At 51.7% G+C, this 20,250-nt stretch overlaps 1 pseudogene, besides 3 other annotated features; it reads left to right on the top strand.

Annotated features, from left to right (window-relative positions):
* Positions 1,572-2,081: an enhancer, noted in NCBI's record as "H3K4me1 hESC enhancer chr21:47500021-47500530 (GRCh37/hg19 assembly coordinates)". NCBI's record gives its function as "activates a minimal SCP1, AML or CMV promoter by ChIP-STARR-seq in naive H9 embryonic stem cells {active_cell/tissue: H9 hESC(naive)}" and the evidence as "EXISTENCE:reporter gene assay evidence [ECO:0000049][PMID:30033119]".
* PSMA6P3 (proteasome subunit alpha 6 pseudogene 3) lies at positions 9,940-10,103 on the top strand (annotated as a pseudogene).
* Positions 15,142-15,755: an enhancer, noted in NCBI's record as "H3K4me1 hESC enhancer chr21:47486347-47486960 (GRCh37/hg19 assembly coordinates)". NCBI's record gives its function as "activates a minimal SCP1, AML or CMV promoter by ChIP-STARR-seq in primed H9 embryonic stem cells {active_cell/tissue: H9 hESC(primed)}" and the evidence as "EXISTENCE:reporter gene assay evidence [ECO:0000049][PMID:30033119]".
* Positions 15,756-16,371: an enhancer, noted in NCBI's record as "H3K4me1 hESC enhancer chr21:47485731-47486346 (GRCh37/hg19 assembly coordinates)". NCBI's record gives its function as "activates a minimal SCP1, AML or CMV promoter by ChIP-STARR-seq in primed H9 embryonic stem cells {active_cell/tissue: H9 hESC(primed)}" and the evidence as "EXISTENCE:reporter gene assay evidence [ECO:0000049][PMID:30033119]".

Here is a 20,250-nt window from a genome sequence, read left to right as displayed (position 1 = left end):
GGGGAGCTGACCGCTCACCCCCTCTTTGCCGTCCAGGCTCCTGTTGCCTCCCTATTCCCAGGCTGCCTCGGCCAACGGCGCTCAGCTACTCAGAGCCTGGGAGAGACAGGGCATGAAGGACCCCATTCATCCTCTGCCTGACCTGAGGCAAGTCATTTGCTCCCTGGGTGCCTCAGTTTCCCCACCCGTGAGAGGGGCATGCGTGTCTTGCGGGTTCCTCCGTGTGGTGTGAAGGTTCTCACTGTCCCGTGGTAGGGGCTGCTGAGAACAAGCAAATGGCCTGCTCCCTGGGAGCCGCCGGCACCTCCTTCTAAGCCCTGGAATCCGTAGCCCTCCAGTGGCTGCGCCTGCTCTTCCGGTCCTGGACGGCTGGGCCGAGTCCACATGGCACCTGCTGCAGGGCCCCTGGGCTGCTCCCCTCTCCTCCTCAGCTGTGAAACAGCGACTGCTGTCGGGAAGTTTCCATGGCTGTCGGGTGCGGCCGTGGGTGCCACAGCTGGTTCGGGCCTCCCTGCCATCCGGGGCTCTGAGTCAGCTGCCCTGGCCCAGGCCACCTGCCAGGGGGAGCGCTGGGAGGCCCCAGCTGCAGAGACCCTGAGGCTCCCCTGTCCCTGCTCTGGGCCCACCCCTCAGTCCCTAGGGTTGGGGACCGGGGGGTCTTCAGTGGGGCCTGGGGGAGGCTTCACAGTCTGTCCCTGCCTCACTGCTGGGGGGATGCAGGGCCGTGCCCACCCCCACGCCAGCTAAACGACCTCGGCCGTTCCTGTACATGACACACTTTCCAGAGCCCGGGCCGTGCAGTCATATTTGTCACTCGGAGAAAATGTTCCGAAGGTGGCTAGGTCCAGGTGAATGTGTCACGGCACATTTATCAGGAAGGAATTTGGGCTATTAGTGAGTGACTGGTAATGGTCAGACACCCATGTTTTCTGCAGAGCAGGCCTTCTGTGTCTGAGCTCGGGAGGAGGTCCTGGTGCACGAAGGAGACGGCCGTGTGCCGGGCGCCTTCGAGTGCCCTCCTCATCCCGTTGTCCCCGAGGCCTCTGGGGCTACGCAGTGTCTGCGTTGGCGCACTTGGCCTCAGAAGCCCCATTCAGCGTCCTCTCCTCGGTGGTGGGCAGGAGACTGGGTGGCCTGGGTCTGTACCCCGGCGTCACTCCTGCTCTGTGACATCCCGTTTTCAGAGTAGTTGGGGTGCTCATCAGTTGACCTTAGGTGGGAGGTCACTGGGTGGACCTGGCCTCATGACGGGAGGCCTATGGCACCTCGAGTGGGGCCAGAAGAGAAGTTGTAGGGTTGGAAGCACCTGGGGACTCCTGTGAGGGGCTGGGGGACTGTTGCCAAGGGTGAGGGCTGAGCCTGGCCACAGTCCCCAGAAGACACAGTCCCAAAGCTGCCGGGAACCGGGAACAGGTTGGCTGTCAGCCGAGTGAGCTTGGAGACGGCCGTCCCCCCGGGCCCGGGACCAGGCTGCAGTTGCTGCGTGAGACTGGCTGAGCCCCAGACTCCTGGCCTGCAGGCTGGGCTGCAGTGGGAGCTGGTGAGGCCACGTGTCTGCTGCTTTTATCTGCATGTACAGCCCAGGCGCTCGGGGGCCTCCTGCCAGTGCCCCTTGTCGTCTTCTGTGCCTCGGCAGCTGCACCGCCCTGGGCCCTGCAGGTTTAGCTGCTGTTTATGACCCACGGGGCTGCACCTGGGACCTCACCCAGTCTAGGCTGACATCCTCCTGACACTCACTGAATGTGCTTCTCCATCCCCGTGAGATGCTCACAGCGACTTCCTGGTCATCTGCTGGGAGGCTGGTGGCCACGAGGGCAGAACCTCACATCTGGACCTGGTTCCAGGGAGGAGGGGGGGACGCGAGGAGAATGGGCGGCAGCCACGCTGACAGGACAAGTCTGGGAGCAGCGCAACACGCCATCGGGGGCTCGCCCATGTGGCCCACCCCTTGACACCCCCAGGGAACCCCCACAGCACCCCCCGGGGCACCCACAAGGCACATCCATGCCACCCCCACAGCACCTCTGTGGCACACCTCCTCTTGAGCCCACAGAGCAGGGGCTGCACCTCCCCGGGAGTGAGGGAGTTGTGCGGCTGCCTCTGCAGACGTCTGTTCTCTGTTGCATTTTCCAAAGCAGAGTCCCCAGCAAGGGTCCCCGGAACGGGCGTTGGGAGCCCTGAGTGGTCACTGCAGCTCACTGTGATCCTGTGTCCTGGGTGGCCGCGAGGGGCTGATGGGAGCTCGATGTGCGTGTGCGTGTGTGTGCGCATGTGTGCATGTGTGTGTGTGTGTCCACGGATGTGTGCATGTGTATGTGTGTACGTGTGTGTGTCCATGTGCGTGTACGAGTGTACACGCGTGTGTGTGCACGTGTGTGGGTGTGTATGTGCATGCACGTGTGTGTGCATGTGCGTGTGGATGTGTGTGCGCACATGTGTGTGTGTGTATGTGTGTCCACACGTGTGTGTGTAGCCTGGTGCTGTTGGCTACGTGCGTGGGAACAGAACCTTCCAAGACACCCTGGCTGGATGAACTCAGCGGTGTGGCTGACATGTCAGTGGGACACAGTGGGGCTCACAGGAAGCTAGCCCCTTGTTAAAGCTCCGAGGAGGGCCTGCGTGAGCTGGGGCAGTGCTGGCTTCCTCTGAGTCACATGGGTCTGTTTCCAATTATGAGCCCAGCCGCCAGTGACAGCACGTGTGGGGGTGAGTGTCTGAGCAGCGAGCACATAGCTTCGTGGACTCCTCAGACCCCCAGTCCATGTTGGACCAGGAGGGAGCCGGGAGCAGGGAGGCCGGTGACCTGGCTGGGATCCCAAAGTCTGATAGTGGCTTTGGGGCTCGACTTCACATCTGGGACCACGTGGCCTGAATCCTTGGGTTTAATTGATAAGTTGCAGCTCAGTGGGCCTGGGGTCCCTCCTGCAAGCCCCGGGCTGCCGGTCCCCTGGGCATCCTCTGCAACCCTGCAGGACCTGGTCACGCCCACAGTCTCCCATGGGCAGTGGTGCTGGATGCTGCCTTCCTTGTTTCCACATAACTTGGCTCAGTGGCATTCAGGCCTCCATGCCCCAGGGACCACGGCTGTTTAACCTCCATCATCAGGAGTTTTCTGACCCTTTCTCAGAGGCATGAAGGCCATGGGGGCCTCTGCCCAGCCAGGTCCTCAGCCTCAGCCACAGACCCAAGTGTTTCCTCTGGTGACACCCCTTAGGGTGCCCAGCTTGGGGACTCCGGGTGACCCTGCTGTGGGACCCTTGTGCCTGCCCAGGACAGGCTGACTTGGGGCTCTGCCGGCCTCGGAGTCACCACCAAGGGTGAGGGCTGAGCCTGAACCTGGCCACAGTCCCCAGAAGACACGGTCCCAAAGCTGCCAGGAACTGGTTGGCTGCTCTGTGCTCTCCTCACTTCCCTGCTGAGGTCACCCTCTCCAGCTCAGCCTCTGCCACGTGGGATCTTTGCTGAAGGTTCCTCTCCGCCCTGGTACTTCCACTCCCCTCAGAGCCTAAGCCTGTGATGCACAAACCCCGGAATACGTCTTTCTTTCCCACGCTTTCTGCATTGGAGCTGAGAAGGCTCCGGGAGCATGGACCCTGGCGGCCCCTCTAGCCATGCAGGGCGCCTGCGGTGGCTGCTCTGGGTGGCCCCTTGAGTCCCGAGTGAGGAGAAAGTGCAAGAGAACCGCTGGTGCGGGAAGGAGGACCCTGAGGGCCTCGGTGAGTTTTTGGTGCTGCAGGTGCAGGGTGAGGACCCCTCAAGCCCGTCGTCTCTCTGGACCCCCCGTCTCACCTGGTGTGGACGCCCCTGAGGCTGCCCCACACCGGCCTCACTGCAATGCTCCAGGGACAGGAATCGTGGGCAGATGGCGTCTCCTCCATGTCATTATGTGGTCCTCCCTCTGGGAATGTCTGTGTCTCATCTCCTCTCCTTATGTGGATGCCAGTCGGATTGGATTAGGGCTACCCCGATGGCTTCCTTTTACTTCAGGGCCTCTCAAACACCCTGTCTCCAAATAAGTCACATTCCAAGGTACTGGGAGTGACCACTTCAACGAAGGAGCTTTGCAGGTTCCACCCCAGTGGGGAGCAGGAAGGCCGTGGTGCCTGCACCTCCACCATCGGCCCATGTCACCACCGAGTCCTGCGAAGCAGAGAGACCAGCCTTGCGTCGGTGCTGTGCTTTGCAGAGACTGGGGACCCCGCAAAATGAGTGAACACGTCTCGCAGAGGCAGGGGCCCGAGTGCCTGGTTTCTGGAGCCCCACGAGGAAGCCCTCTCCTCCCCGCTTTCCTTGGGTCCACCTGGGGGCCTTTACGACTTCACGGGGGCATCCAGACCGAAGCAGGAGACCACCAGGTGTCCCAGGGCCAAGTCCAGTCCTCCTGGCTGGGTGATCTTTACTGGTGCGTGGAGAAGAGTGAGCCATCCGTGTGGAAGGTCTGTGCGGGTGCCTGCTGTGTTCTGGGGACTCCCTAGAAGCAGGGACACACTTGTGCGTTTCAGACACACCCTTACCCAGTGTCTGAAACCACTGTCCTGAGAAGGACCATGAGCTCTCGGTGCTACGCTACTCATCTGCCCCACCCCAGCACGGGGGAACCAGCAGTAGGGTATTTATTAAGGATTCTTGGGGCCACTGAGACTTGGTGAAATGGTTCATTCATTCAAAGAGCCATGGACGTTCTCTTCTCCAATCCAAAATGACAAAGTAGACACATTTTATCCGTTTCTCTTTGTGAAGAGAGAATTGTATTACATAACGTCTGACTTACAGTCAATGCTCCAGGAACCAGGACGTCCTGTGTCCTGTAGCTCTATGGGATTAGGTGGCCCTAATCTAATGGCTGGTGTCCATGTAAGAAGAGGAGACGATACAGACACACAGAAACACACACAGAAGCTAAGAGTATTTTTTTTATTTTAAGTTCTGGGGTACATGTGCAGGATGTGCAGGTTTGTTACATAGGTGAACGTGTGCCATGGTGGTTTGCTGCACCTACCAACCCATCACCTAGGTATGAAGCCCAGCACACATTAGCTCTTTTCCTAATGCTCTCCCTCCCCCAACCCCACACCCTGACAGGCCCCAGTGCGTGTCGTTTCCCTCCCTGTGTCCATGTGTTCTCATTGTTCAGCTCCCACTTATAAGTGAGAACATGCGGTGTTTGGTTTTCTGTTCCTGCGTTGGTTTGCTGAGGATCACGGCTTCCAGCTCTATCCACGTCCCTGCAAAGGACATGATCTTATTCCTTTTTATGGCTGCATAGTATTCCATGGTCTATATGTACCACATTTTCTTTATCCACTCTATCATGGATGAACATTCGGGTTGATTCCATGTCTTTGCTATTGTGAATAATGCTGCAATGAACATATGCGTGCTGTATCTTTATAATAGAATGATTTATAATCCTTTGGGTATATACCCAGTAATGGGATTGCTGGGTCAAATAGCACTTCTGGTTCTAGATCTTTGAGGAATCACCACACTGTCTTCCACAATGGTTGAACTAATTTACATTCCCACCAACAGTGTAAAAGTATTCCTATTTCTCCACAGCCTCGCCAGCATCTGTTGTTTCTTGACTTATTAATAATCGCCATTCTGACTGGTGTGAGATGGTATCTCATCATAGTTTTGATTTGCATTTCTGTAATGACCAGTGATGTTGAGCTTTTTTTCATATGTTTGTTGCCTGCATGTATGTCTTCTTTTGAGAAGTGTCTGTTCATGTCCTTTGCCTGCATTTTAATGGGCTTGTTTGCTTTTTTCTTGTAATTTGTTTAAGTTCTTTGTAGATTCTGGGTATTAGGCCTTTGCCAGATGGATAGATGGCAAAAATGCTCTCCCATTCTGTAGATTGACTGTTTGCTCTGATGATAGTTTCTTTTGCTGTGCAGAAGCTCTTTAGTTAGATCCCATTTATAAATTTTTGCTTTTGTTGCAATTGCTTTTGATATTTTCATCATGAAATCTTTGTGCCTATGTCCTGAATGGCATTGCCTAGATTTTCTTCTAGGGTTTTTATAGTTTTGGGTTTTACATTTAAGTCTTTAATCTATCTTGAGTTAATTTTTGTATAAGGTGTAAGGAAGGGGCCCAGTATCAATTTTCTGCATATGGCTAGCTAGTTTTCCCAGCACCATTTATTAAATAGGAAATCCTTTCCCTATTGCTTGTTTTTGTCAGGTTTGTCAAAGATCAGATAGTTGTAGATGTGTGGTCTTATTTCTCAGTTCTCAATTCTGTTCCACTGGTCTGTGTGTCTGTTTTTTTGTTTGTTGTTTGTTTGTTTTTTTGTTGTTGTTTTTAGCAGTATCATGCTGTTTTGGTTACTATAGCCTTGTAGCATAATTTGAAGTCCAACAGTGTGATGCCTCCAGCTTTGTTCTTTTTGTTTAAGATAGTCTTGGCTATAAGAACTCTTTTTTGGTTCCATATGAATCGTAAAATAGTTTCATCTAATTAATTCTGTGAAGAATGTCAATAGTAGTTTAACGGGAATAACATTGAATCTATACATTACTTGCCATTTTCACGATATTGGTTCTTCCTATCCATGAGCATGGAATGTTTTCCCATTTGTTTGTGTCCTCTCTGATTTCCTTGAGCAGTGGTTTGTAGTTCTCCTTGAAGAAGTCCTTCGCTTCCCTTGATAGCTGTATTCCTAGGTATTTTATTCCCTTTGTAGCAATTGTGAGTGGGAGTTCACTCATGATTTGGCTCTCTGCTTGTCTGTTTTTGGTGTATAGGAATGCTTGCGATTTCTGCATATTGATTTTGTGTCCTGAGACTTTGCTAAAGTTGCTTATCAGCTTAAGAAACTTTTGGGCTGAGACGATGGGGTTTTCTAGATATAGGATCATGTCATCTGTGAACAAAGACAATTTGACTTTCTCTCTTCCTATTTGAATACCTTTATTTCTTTCTCTTGCCTGATTGCCCTGGCCAGAACTTCCAATACTATGTTGAATAGGAGTGGTGAGACAGGCTGTCCTTCCAAGTTGCCCAGGCTGCTCTTGAACTGGACTCACCTAAGCTTCCAAACGTGCTGGGATTATAGGTGTGAGGAGCCACTACACTTGGAGATCCAAATGTTAAATTTATCCCTAAGCATTTATTGTTATTTGATACTATCATAAATTGTAGTTCATAAATTATAATTTCTGACTGTTCATTGATCTTGTATTCTGTGACTTTGCTACATTCAAATGTCAGTTCTAGTAGCTTTTTGGGTTTCCTAAGTTTTCTAGATACGCAATCATGTTGTCTGTGTATAAAGACAATCAGTCTTACATCTTTCTTCCCAATTTGTATGCCTTTTATTTATTTTTCTCATAAAAAGTCTGGGCTTAGGCCAGGGCTCTGCATATGCCATTGAAGAGAAGTGGGGAGAGTATTCACCACTGCACTGCTCCTTAAGAGGAAAGATTTAACCTTTCTCATTAAATTGATATTAGCTATAAGCTTTTCATAGATATTCTTTGTCAGGTTTGAAGAGTTTCCCTATTTCTGATTTCTAATAGTTTTTATGATAAACAGCTATTGGATTTTGACAAATGCTTTTTCTATAGATGTAGAGAAATCTGAGATGATCATATGTTTTTTAAAAATCATTATAGGCCTGGCACTGTGGCCCACATCTTTAAATCCCAGCACTTTGGGAGGCTGAGGTGGGTGGATCACTTGAGGTAAGGAGTTCAAGACCAGCCTGGCCAACATGGTGAAACCCCATCTCTACTAAAAATACAAAAATTAGCCAGGGGTGGTGGCAGGCACCTGTAATCTCAGCTACTCGGGAGGCTGAGGCAGGAGAATTGCTTGAATCAGGGAAGCAGAGGTTGCAGTGAGCCGAGATCACGCCACTCTACCTCAGCCTGGGAAACAGAGTGAGACTCTGTCTTAAAAAAATTTATATTAATATGGTGAATTGTATTATTTGGTTTTTAATATTAAATGAGTCTAGCATTTCTGGGATCTATCCCATTTGATCATGATGAATTTTAAAAAATACATTGCTGAATTTGATTTTGTTAAGGACTTTTAACTGTAGGCTTGTGAGTGATATTGGCATACAGGTCTCTTTCCTTTTAAAATCTGTCTGTTTTGGCTGGGCATGCTGGCTTATGCTTGTAATCCCAGCACTTTGGGAGGCCAAGGCGGGTGGATCACTTGAGCCCAGGAGTTCAAGACCAGCCTGGAGTTTAAGACCAGCCTGATGAACATGGTGAAACCCTGTCTCTACAAACAAGTGATAACAAAAAAAAATTAGCTGGGCATGGTGGTTTCGTGCCTAGAGTCCCAGCTACTGGGGAGGCTGAGGTGGAAGGATCGTTTGCGCCTGGGAGGTTGAGGCTGCAGTGAGCTGTCATCATGCCACTGCACTCCAGCCTGAGTGACAGAGTGAGACCCTGTCTCAAAAAAAAAAAAAAAAAAAAACCCAAAAAGACAACTGTCTGTTTTGAAGACTAGTATATTGGCATCAAAAAATGAGTTGGAAATTTTTCTATTTTCTGACAGCTTTCGTGAAGATCGGCATTATTACTTCCTCAATATTTGATAGAATTCATCCAGGAGCCATCTGGGCCTGGAGTTTCCATTTTGGAAGGTTTTGGTAATAATTTTAATTTCTTTTAGTCTATAGCTATATTCAGACTTTCTATTATTTCCCTTATCCAATTTGGTAATTTGTGTCTTTTAATGAATTTTTCCATTTCTTCTAAGTTGTCAATTTTGAGGTCTTTATAATATAATATTTCCTTATGATCCTTTTAACATCTGTAAGATCTGTAGTGCTGTGCTCCAGTTTAGTCCTCATATTGGTAATTTGTGTTTTTTCTTTTTTCTTATCTTGATCAATCTATCTAGATACTTATTAATTTTATTGACATTTTCAATAAACCAGCTTTGATTTAATTGGTTTTCTCCATTTTTTTGGTCAGTTTCCTTGATATCCACTCTTTTCTTTTTTAATTTCCATCTTTCTACTTAGCTTTTGATTTACTTTTACTTTCTCTAGCTTCTTAAGTAGAAACCTATATCCTTGATTTTAGACTTTTCTCCTTTTTTAATACAAGCACATAAGGCTGTGTGTTTTTCTCCAAACACTGTTTTAGGTATACCTTTTATTTTGACATTAAAAATATTACTTTCTTTCAGTAAAAAATATTTTTAAATTTTCTTTTGATTTCTTTGACTGAAATATTATTTAGAAGTGCATTGCTTGATTTCAGAATATTTGGATGTCTTCAAAATGTTGACTTTTAGATGAATAATTATTGACTTTTTGATTAACTCTAATGCCTATGTGTTCTAACAGTTACTGAAAGGGGGTTGAAATCGCCATTATAAGTATTATAATTGTGGATTAATCCATTTCTCTTTTCAGTTCTGTCCGTTTTTAATTCATGGATGTTGAGAATTTCGCATTTGGTGAATATTCATTTCAGATGCTGTCTTCTTGACGAGTTGACTTCTTTATCTTTCTTCTTTATTCCTTATGATATTGTTTGTCCTGGGTCCACTTTGCCTGACATTAAAGTTGCACCTCCAACTTTCTTATAATTTCTATTTGCTTGGCATATCTTTTTTTTTTTTTTTTTTGAGACAGAGTCTCACTCTGTCACCCAGGCTGGAGTGCAGTGGCGCAATCTCTGCTGACTGCAACCTCTGCCTCCCTGGAACCTCCCAAGTAGCTTGGATTACAGGAATGTGCCACCATGCCTGTATGCCATGCCACCATGCTAATTTTTGTAATTTTAGTAGAGACGGGGCTTCACCATGCTGGCCAAGCTGGTCTCGAACTCCTGACCTCACCACTTCCTTCACCACCACACCCAGCATGGGCCACACACACGTAAATCCATGCCTTCCTCCTAGATGCCTGCCTTGGCCTTCCAAAGTGCTGGGATTACAGGCATGAGCCACTGTGCCCGGCCTGAACAGACAGTGGTAACTGCAATTACCTGCCTGTCTACCGTGCTATCCATTGGTTTCAAATCATCAGAAAGAAAAGTTGGAGAGATTACAGCTGCAAATCCTAAATTCAGGATACTTACAGAAGCAGAGGCTGACGCTCACCTTGTCATTCTAGCAGAAACTAAACATTGTCACTGGTTTATACATCTGTGATGCCACCAGCCTGCGTATTTGGTAACAGTGAAGCCGCATTATGATTCAAAAGAGATCCTCTCCCACTTCACCCACCACTCAAGTGGTTAGGACTGTGTATCAGTAAGAACTATGCTTTTTGGGGAAAAAAAGAAAGTTAATCTTCATTTTGGCGTATGAAGAGGTGAGGCCTTCTCCACCACCATGAGCAGGTTAGCGCCTTATAAAAGGGCGGGGGGAGCCTGCGTGTGCCTTTTGCTTTTCTGCTGCCATCTGAGGACGTGGCACTTGTCCCTTTTCCCCTTTTCATTCTTCCCACCGTGTGAGGACCCCCAGGCAGCACCTTCCATGAGAAATGGGCCTTTGCCCATTCACTGAACTTGCAGGGGCCTTGATGTTGGACTTCCCAGCCTCCAGAGCTGTGAGAAAATAAAGTTTTGTTATTGATAAATTACCCAGTCTCAGGTATTTTGTTATAGCAACACAAGCAGACTAAGAAAATTCCTCTCCTTCTATTCATGAACTTACAAAAATCATGTTCACAAGTGGGCAGAGCTGTGGCCAGAGCCCAGGACTTCTCACTCTGACTCCAGGGCTCTCTTCACGTCACTGCTTGCCTTTTGTTGGCTGGAGCGCTGTGATCTCAGCTGCTCGGGGGTCCAGGGGCTCATGGAGAGTTTGGCTCCTGCCCCTCCTCTGTGGGTTCCTCCACGCACTTGTCCTCTTGTCCTCTCTTGACTCTGCAGGGCTTCACCACCACCTAGCGTGAGCCACACCCACGGAAATCCATGCCTTCCTCCCAGGTGCCAGGTTCTCAGGGTCTCTCGTTAACGAGAGACCCTGCAGAGGCGTGCAAGCCCACCCAGGGAGCAGATGCCCATGTTATCAGTGCCTTCGGTCCCGAGAGGGGTTCACACTGAGGATGAAGGCGTTCAGGCCTGTGGCAGGGAAGGTATTTGGGGCAGTTGCTCTTTCATGGAATCGCAGAGCAGGTTCACCTGCACAGCCCTGGCACCTTCTTGCTTCCAAATCCACAGCGCCTTAGCGAAATACAAGCTCATCCAGTCCTCAAAGAGTGTTAACTTTCCACCAACAGGTGTACTTTTAAAAAAGAAGGGTGCCGCCAACCTAAAAAGACACGGCCCACAATGAGCCATCTGAAAGATGACTGGAGGCTCTGCTTTTAAAGAAGTTGTCAATCAGTCGATCAGCAAGCCAGCCTTCTGTTGCAGACGAAGAAATGCAGGAGCTTCTGGACATGCTGAGAGCGCACATGAGTGGCCAAGAGAAAGGCGGGCTTTGGAGGGGTCCTTGCTAACTCCTTCAGGCACTAATTTCTTTTTTTCTTTTTCTTTTCTTTTTTTTTTTTTGAGACTGAGTTTCACTCTGTTGCCCAGGCTGGAGTGCAGTGGCGCGATCTCGGCGCACTGCAACCTCTGCCTGCTGGGTTCAAGTGATTCTCGTGCCTCAGCCTCCCAAGAAGCTGGGATTGCAAGTGTGCATCATCACACCCGGCTAATTTTTGTATTTTTTAAGTAGTAAGTTAAACATGGGGTTTCACCATGTTGGCCAGGCTGGTCTTGAACTCCTCACCTCAAGTGATCCACCAGCCTCAGCCTCCCAAAGTGCTGGAATTATAGGCATGAACCACCGTGCCTGGCCTTTTGGGCATTAATTCTTGAAGCCACTGAATTAATCGTTGGCACATTTATTCAATTTAATCCGGCATTTCTGATGCTTGAACTTTACCATGTACCAAATGGTTACCCTTTTCCCTCCATGTAGTCGGGGAAGCAGTCTGTGAATTTTCCAATCATTCATTTGTTCCTTTATTACACACTCAGACAACAATTATTGAACACCTTTTCTGGGCCATGCCCCCTCTCGGGTCCTGCAGAGGTGCCAGTGAGAAGGACGTGCAGGGCCCTGCCCGCTGGGCTGGCCTATGACCTGTGTGACCCTCTTGCCCCTGCCACCTTTCCCAGGGTGCCGTGCTCCGCCAGCCTCCACGGCTCCCTGCAGGCCAAGCGCCTCTGGCCGCCCCCTCAGCTCGGCCCTGGGGGTAAGCGCTGCCATCTGGTCTCTATTATTTGGGGCCTCAGCGTCCCATGGATGCTAGCAAGCTTGGCTCTGCGGCCCCTACCTCTGCGGCCTACAGAAAGTGCCATCGCTGAGGGTCTGAGGGGAGCCCCCCACACCAGTGCGTCTGTGATGGCCTCGGAGAGGCTGTGTGCTCCGAGCCACCATGTGCTGCATCACCCTCTGGTTGACTTTCTGGATTCATTTGTTTCTCACGAGGTACAATTCTGAAAATGCTTCACGTGAATTCCAGGGTCGAACAGATCAGTAAGGAGACGGTGGGTGGCATGAAGCAGGTTTCTCCTGACTGGAGAGGAAGCGTTAGACACACAGGGAAGGAAGGCGAGAATGAGCCCTGTGGTACCGACTTAGAGTTGGAGTTGTCACTGCGAAGGCACGTTCAGCACTCCCCCCACCCCCACAATGCACACACACCCAGTCACACATGCATATACATGTGTGTGCATACACACACACCCAGGCACACATGCACACACACGCACATGCACACACCCAGACACACATGCACACACACGCACATGCACACACACACAGGCACACAGGCACACAAGCACACACATGGACTTGCACACACATGCACACACACCCAGGCACACATGCTCACACACGAGTGCACACACACAGGCACACATGCACACACATGCGTGTGCACACACACCCAGGCACGCACACACGCACACGCACACACGCGCACACACCCAGACACACATGCGCACACACACACGCACACACACACGGGCACACATGCACACATGCACACACATGGACTGGCACACACACGTACACACAGGCACACATGCACACAGGCACACACATGAACTTGCACACACATGCACACACATTCAGGCACACATGCTCACACAGGCGTGCACACACACCCAGGCACACATGCACACACATGCACACACGTGTGCACATGCACACATGCATGCACACACACCCAGGGACATGCACAGACACACACACCCAGGCACATGTGCATACACACACATGCACACAGACACACTCCCCCAGGCACATGCGCACACACCCACACACACCCAGGCACACATGCACACACACACAGGCACATGCACACACACGTACACACATGCACATGCACACACATGGACTTGCACACACATGCACACACACCCAGGCACACATGCTCACACAGGCGTGCACACACACACACCCAGGCACACATGCACACACCTAGGCACATGCACACATGCGTGCACACACACCCAGGCACACGTGCACACACACACCCAGGCACACGTGCATACACACACATGCACACAGACACACTCCCCCAGGCACATGCGCACACGCACACACACGCACACACACACGTGCACACACACATGCACGTGCACACACCCAGGCACACATGCACACACATGCACGTGCACACACCCAGGCACACATGCACACACATGCACACACACACACACATGCATGCATGCACACACACGCAGATGGGTCGATGGGCAGGAAGAAAATTATCCGCTGTTATTTAACTTGGTGGCTGTAGACGGAAAGGAGGAGGTTCAGACATGTGAAGACAACTGGACGCAGAGTCTGAATCTGTTACTCAGAGACTACAATGTCATTGGGGTCCCCGACTAGAGTGGGGCTTGCAGGGGGGCGGATGGCTCCTTCAGGGTGCAGTGTCTGTGCAGAATCAGGCGCTTGTATGTGCTGCATCCCATCAGGAAGAATTGATGGGTCCAGGAACCCAAGGCTGGGAGCGGAAATGCCCACTCCGGTCACTCCCAGCAGTCCTGGAAGAATGTGGTGCTTCCTGCCCTGCACCTCTGATCTCTGCGGGGTTGACGGTCTTGTCCTCCGAGTCCCCTTAGACCCGGTGTCCTTAGACCCGGTGTTCTATCTGCTGCCAGGGCACTTTGGACTCCTTATGTCCCAGGACCAGCAGGTAAGAAGGGAAGTCACCGTCTTGGCAGGAGGCATTGGCCGGGGGCACGTGTGTGAAACCCAGGCGTCTCGCCTGGTGCCCCGTGCCCCCTTGTACTGGCCACAGGGCTTGAGCCATGCCCCAGGGGAGCCATTGAGACTTGCCCGGGTGATAGCTGCTGCGGGTGGGGGGATTCGGAATGGAGGGAGGGACGTGCATCAGTTGTGGCCCCGAGACCCCTGGCAGGGAGGAGAGGCCGGTGAGAGCCTCGAAGTGGCTCTGGCCAATGCCCAGGGGAGCGAGTGAGACAGCGGGGAGTGCGGTACGCAGGGAGTGGAATGATGGGCAGCTCCCAGCTCCTCCACCTCAGTGGGCCTGGCCGCGTGCTCCCAGCTCCGTTCCTGGGACACACGGGACCCCTTGCAGTGCTGAGCTGAGCTCGAGAACACTGTTGGCCTGTCTGAGCTCCCCCACCTGAGCTGGAGTCCCAGGCCCCACTCCCACCGAACTCTCTGCTTCCCCGGCTCCCTTCCTCTTCCTCCCCAGACGCTCCGCATCCAGGCCCATCCGGCCTCTGCTTCTGGAAGGGCCTGAGCTAGCACCTCTTGTCTTTTTTCTTCTGAGGGGCAGTATTTAAAAAATGAATTCCAGTGATTTTCTTCATTCAGTGTTTTTGAGGGAGGTCTCTGTCTAAGTGCCTCATTTTTAGGGTGATGCTGGAACTGAGAGGGGCCTGTCTGGGACTGAAGGACGTTCCCAGCCGAGCTCCTTTTCAGCCAGATGAAGGGAAAGACTGACCCCGAGTTTGTGTCGGGTTACGCTCCAGCCTGCGGCGGCGAGGCCACATGGGTTACAATCCAGCATGCAGGGCGGGAGCTGAGAGCCTGCACAGGAGCGGAGACTCTGTGGCTGGACATTCTGGAGCCCCCAGCTGCGGCCGTGGCCCCAGCGACCCACCTCCACAGAGACAGGGGCGTCGGGGTCTATGGCCCAACAGTCCCCTCCCTCTGGCCCTGTGTCCTGGGCCTGGGTCTCTTGCAGGAGGGAGCCTTGCAGACAGCCCCCAGCTGCTCCTGCTGGCTTCTCACTTCCACGAAGGCAGGGCAGCTTCTGGGCGGCAGCTCAGCCTTCCCTCTGGCTCCCAGCCCGCACGCATTTTTAAAGAGGGTGGGGAATTGCTAGCCTAGATACGTTTCTAAAGGGCTCCTGGATGGGAGAGTTAGAAGTTGCTTTTCAAATGATTATTTTGCTTGAAATTCTCTCCCCTAACCTTCCTATAAGCTGTGAAGCACTGTCTATTATCTGTGTCTACACCCTCATCTAACGTATGGCTGGTGCTCCCTAAGATAAGGTTGCTTAGAGAACAACGGGATAGCTTGAGTCCGCCGTCCTTCCCTCCAGCAGAGACCCAGAGTGGCTGAACCGTGGCCAGCGTCGGTGCAGCCACGTAGCTGGGAGCAACGGCTGTGCTTGCAAAGCCTGGTGGACACCTGGAGATTTTCATAATTGTTTCATATTTTTGTTTCCTTTGGGTGTGAGAATAAGGATGTAAATACTAAATTGTGTTTGCTGAGAGGCCAAAGCAACAGATATTCTCCTGCAGAACGCCACGGAGGGTGGTGGCTTTCCATGCACACCCGTGAGCCACGCGCTGTGGCCTGCACTGTGCACCGACTTGTCTCTGCATCGCCTTGTCGGAGAGCAGGGCTCACACCAGGCCTCCTTCCCCCGGCCCCCAACACAGCGCTTTGCTCTCAGTACGTGCTGAACAACCATTTGGTGAATTAATGAAGGGCAGGGAACTTGGCTGATAACGCTGTATGTGTTAGGAAATTTGTGTTGTCACAGTATATATTTGGGATTCAAAACCGGGTAGAAACATGGAATTCTTTGTTTAGAACAAAAATAGAACAAGTCAGCAGGAAAGGAATTGGAGAAGCAGCCGCCCTGGGTCCCGGGGGCCTCCGGCCGCACAGGCGCTGCTGTTCTCAGGGGCTGCAAGGCGGGAAGGTCAGGCAGGAGGCGGTCCAGGAATGAGGGTTCCCCGTTCTGGCTCTGCCACCCATTCACTGTGCGGCCTTCTCTTTGCTCCTGGAGTCCTAATTTTGCAACGAGAAGGCTGGAATAAAGGCTCCTGCCTTTCCAGCAACACATTCTGTGACTTCTAGAGACAGGGGTCTTCAGCCTGGTGCGGAAGCAGGGCTGTTTCCTGTTTGTTTCATTTTCTGCTAGAAAGGTCTGGGGAGAAACCTCTTCTGCGGGTGGAGGCAGCAGCCCCGGTTCCTTCTCCCCGGGGCCCTGGAAGAGGCGTTTCCCACCCAGCTCTGTGGCAGGGCTGGGGTGTGGCCTGAGCGGGACAGGAGGGGTTAACAGAGAGTGAGCTTGGCGCCTGGACCTCTGGAGTCCAAGCCCTAGGTGTCTGCTGGAAAAATGTAGCAGGGAGCCAGGTGACACAGCTGTGTGTGTTTGTTTTTGAGGTTACCAGAGAAACGAGAGGGAAAGTAAAAAAAATAAAGTTTCCACAAAAATCCAAACTGACTTCCAAAGTATCTGAGAGCATGGAAGAGACACAGTCGGCCACGCCCCAGTCCCAGCGCGCTCTGTTTTGCTGGTGGCCCCTCCGGCCCCCGCCCGGTGTCCACAGGAAGGAGGAGAGGAGCTGGCTTTTCCATGGGGAAAGGGGCCAGGAGTGGTGGCTCCGCATGGAGTAACGGCCAGGGCCAGTGACACATTGTGCGGACTGTTAGCTCTGAAACACCACCAGCCGCAGGGAGACACCGGCTGCATTCTAGGTGGTTATGAGTGGGAGGGAAGGTCCCATCAGCACACTGAGCATCAGCAATCGGGCGGAAAGGTGGAGGCTGTGAACTTAAGGAAAAGGCCCACAGCCAGATGCAACCTCCAGTTCATCCCGCAGCGCCCACGTCGAGGGTGGAGGAGCTGCAGGCACTGCCAGCGCACTCCCAAGCAGTGGGGTGAGGCCGTCTCCCCTCAACCAGGCCCGGAGGAAGGGGCGCCGCACACAGGGCCAGGCAAGCATGACACAGGCGGGACTCGGCCCTGCTGCTGGCCGGTCACCTGGGCAGTCCCTGGCTCTTGCCTCCCTGTAAAGCAGCTGGGTGGCCCCTCTGGGCCTTGGCGTGTTTATTCCATCTCTCAAGCACCCCCCAGTGCCATCCTCCATGCCTCCCAGGGGAGCAGAGCACTCTCAGATGACAGGCGTCAGGTGCCCACCACGAGAGACCCGAACAGCCTCTCTCCCCCTCCCTCCCTCCCTCCATCCCTCCATCCCTTCCTTCCTTCCTTCTTCCCTCCTCCCTCCCTCCCTTCCTCTCTTCCTCCTTTCCTTCCGTCCTCCCTCCCTTCCTCACTTCCTTCCTTCCTAATTGAGATAAAATTCAGGATCCATTATTTTAACCTTTTTAAAAGTGTACAGTTCAGCCGCATTTAGTACTTTCACAGTGCTGTGCAACCCCCACCTCGGTCCAGTTCCAGAACATTTCATTTCCCCAAGAGGAAACCTCGCCCTCGTGAAGTAGATGCCCCCCTGCCCGTTCCTCAGTCCTCCAGCCCCTGGCACCTCCCAGCCTGCCTTCTGTCTCTGTGGATCTGCCTATGCTGACCAAGTCGTATAAATGAATCCTACAACAGGAGCCGTTTGTGTCTGGATTCCTTCGCTCAGCAGAACTCGTCTCGGGCTCATCCACGTTGTAGCACGCGTCAGGACTTCGTCCTTTTTCACGTCTGAATGATACTCCGTTGCATGGATAGACACGTTTTCTTTATCCATTCATCCACTGGGGACACGTGGATTGCTTCCACCTTTTAGCTATTGTGAAAACGCTGCTGTGGCCCCCCTTTCTCTCGAGTCCGATGAAATCAGCGTGAGTAGAGGCAGCGGAGATGGCAGGCGTGACTACTGCACAGGCACTGATCCTGGACGGGCTCCGGGCAGGGCTGGCAGGACCCTCAGCATCCCCTGCAGTTTCCACAACCAGCGAGTGGAACCCACACCCCAGATGCTGCTGGGCTTTACGGGGCCCCTGGTGCCAGGTCCCTGTGACTTCTGAAGGGCAGGGCTCCCTCCCGGTGGGTGCAGGTGACTTGGACAGGCACTGAACTTCTGGCCTCTCTGGGTGGGGAGGATCTGGCTTCCCCTTCAGGTGACAGGTCCAGGCTGCCTAGCCTCTTGTTGGGCATATTTGGGGTCAGAGGACCTCTGTGGGGCTGTGGGCACATGCGGGCTCCCAGGGTGGGTTATGGGTGCTGTTAAATTAAGTTTGGCCTGAAGCTGCCCCCATATGTAGTGAACTGCAACCTACCTCAGGATGTAAACAAGCTGCAACCTAACTAAGCATGTTCAAGTGATCCCTGACACTGGTTTATGATTTTTTTTTGTTTTTCAATGGGTTTATTGGGGCATTAAATGCATTTTTTGACTCATGATTTTTTCTACTTATGATGCATTTATTGGGCCATAACCTTACTGTAAGTTGAGGGGCTTCTGGTATTCTTTTAACAAGTATCCGAGTTTCAGTCAATCACAGCAGCCAAGCTTCAGCCAATCACAGGCTGCCAACAGATCAGACCACACCCATATGAGGCAGACGTCCAGCTGTAGCCAATCAGGCTGTTTCTGTGTCTCACTTCCGGGTTCTGTCTATAAGTGCTGCCTGCCCATGTTTCTGGGTGGAACTTGCTGAACCTCTGGAGGTTCTGGGTGCTGCCTGATTCGTGAATTGTTGTTTGCTCAAGTAAACTGCTAAATTTAATTTGTCTAAAGATTTTTTTAAACAGTGCTTGAGATCTGCAGTTTAGTAGGTGGGAATGGGCCAGGGTCCTTCTTTTCCTGAGTTTCAGGCCAGACCCCTGGCCACACTGCTCTGTAGACCGGTAGCTGGATGACCCATGGTGCATGGTGGAGGCAGACTTGCCTGTGTCAGGGTTTGTTGCTGGGGCTTACTATAGCCCATAACTGATGAGGAGTGAGGCAGCCATGGAAGACACAGCAAATAAGAAAACCCTGAGAAAGGCAGTGTCCACCAGGGCTAGACACCTGTGGTCATGCAGCCTGTCTGTCCAACCTGCCCTGTGCAGAATAAGCCGGTGTCCACCAGGGCTAGACACCAGTGGTCATGCAGCCTGTCTGTCCCACCTGCCCTGTGTGGAATAAGCCAGAGTCCACCAGGGCTAGACACTGGTGGTCATGCAGCCTCTCTGTCCAACCTGCCCTGTGCAGAATAAGCCAGAAAACAGCCTGAGGAAGGTTCCTAGTGAAGTCTCCAGGGTCTTAAGGGTTGAGCCTTAAAGAGTTAGATCCTTTATCCCAAGATTTAGAACAATTCCAAGTGCTTGTGTGTTCCTCTGTGTTCTTCTCACAACTTAATGAGAAACAAATATCACAAACAAACCAACGAGTGATTCATATGACCAAAATGTTGGCTCCACTTAGCTGTCTTTTCTTCAAATGTGCATTTTCTTCTTTTGTAGACAGTGCTCGAAGGGGATGGGTGAAGAGGAAACTGAGGAAGGACAACAGGGGATGGTGCTCCGCTGCCTTCAGCAGAGCTTGGCACAGCTTGACCACATAAATGTTTCTGGCCAGATGAGAGGCACTTGCACTTCTCAGCTTCCCACAGAGCTGAACATTTGATTTCACCCTTTAATGCACCTTTCTGGAAACCCAGAACTTGAGTCTGTGCTGTATACAGGGAAGCAACCACTATTGCTGGGAGTTAGAGAAATTTCTGTCTGGTTTGTAGAAAATCTAAGAATGGCTTACAACGGCCAAAATAGAGGTCACACATGGGGCCTAACATGGTATGGGAAGGGGAAAAGTGGGGTGGAGATGAGACGTCTCCACCAAGGAAGCGTCTACACTGACAGCAGTTGGACGGCTTAAGGCAGAGGGTGACCCAAACTCAGCTCTGAGATGGAGCCTGGGGCTCTGGGATTATGATGGCACCAGGACAGATCCAAGTCAGGAAGGAGGAAAGTGTTTCCTGGTGGGTTCTTCCTCCCCCTGCACAGACAAAACCAATTCACCGAGACCATGGCTTTGCAATAAAGAGCTTAATTAACATGGGGCTGGCCATGCCACATGGGAGACAGAGTCACTACTTAAATCAATCTCCCTGAAAATT

The sequence above is a fragment of the Homo sapiens genome, chromosome 21 (assembly GCF_000001405.40).
Source record: "Homo sapiens chromosome 21, GRCh38.p14 Primary Assembly".
Lineage (NCBI taxonomy): Eukaryota > Metazoa > Chordata > Mammalia > Primates > Hominidae > Homo > Homo sapiens.
This window is presented reverse-complemented; position numbering and strand designations above follow the sequence as displayed.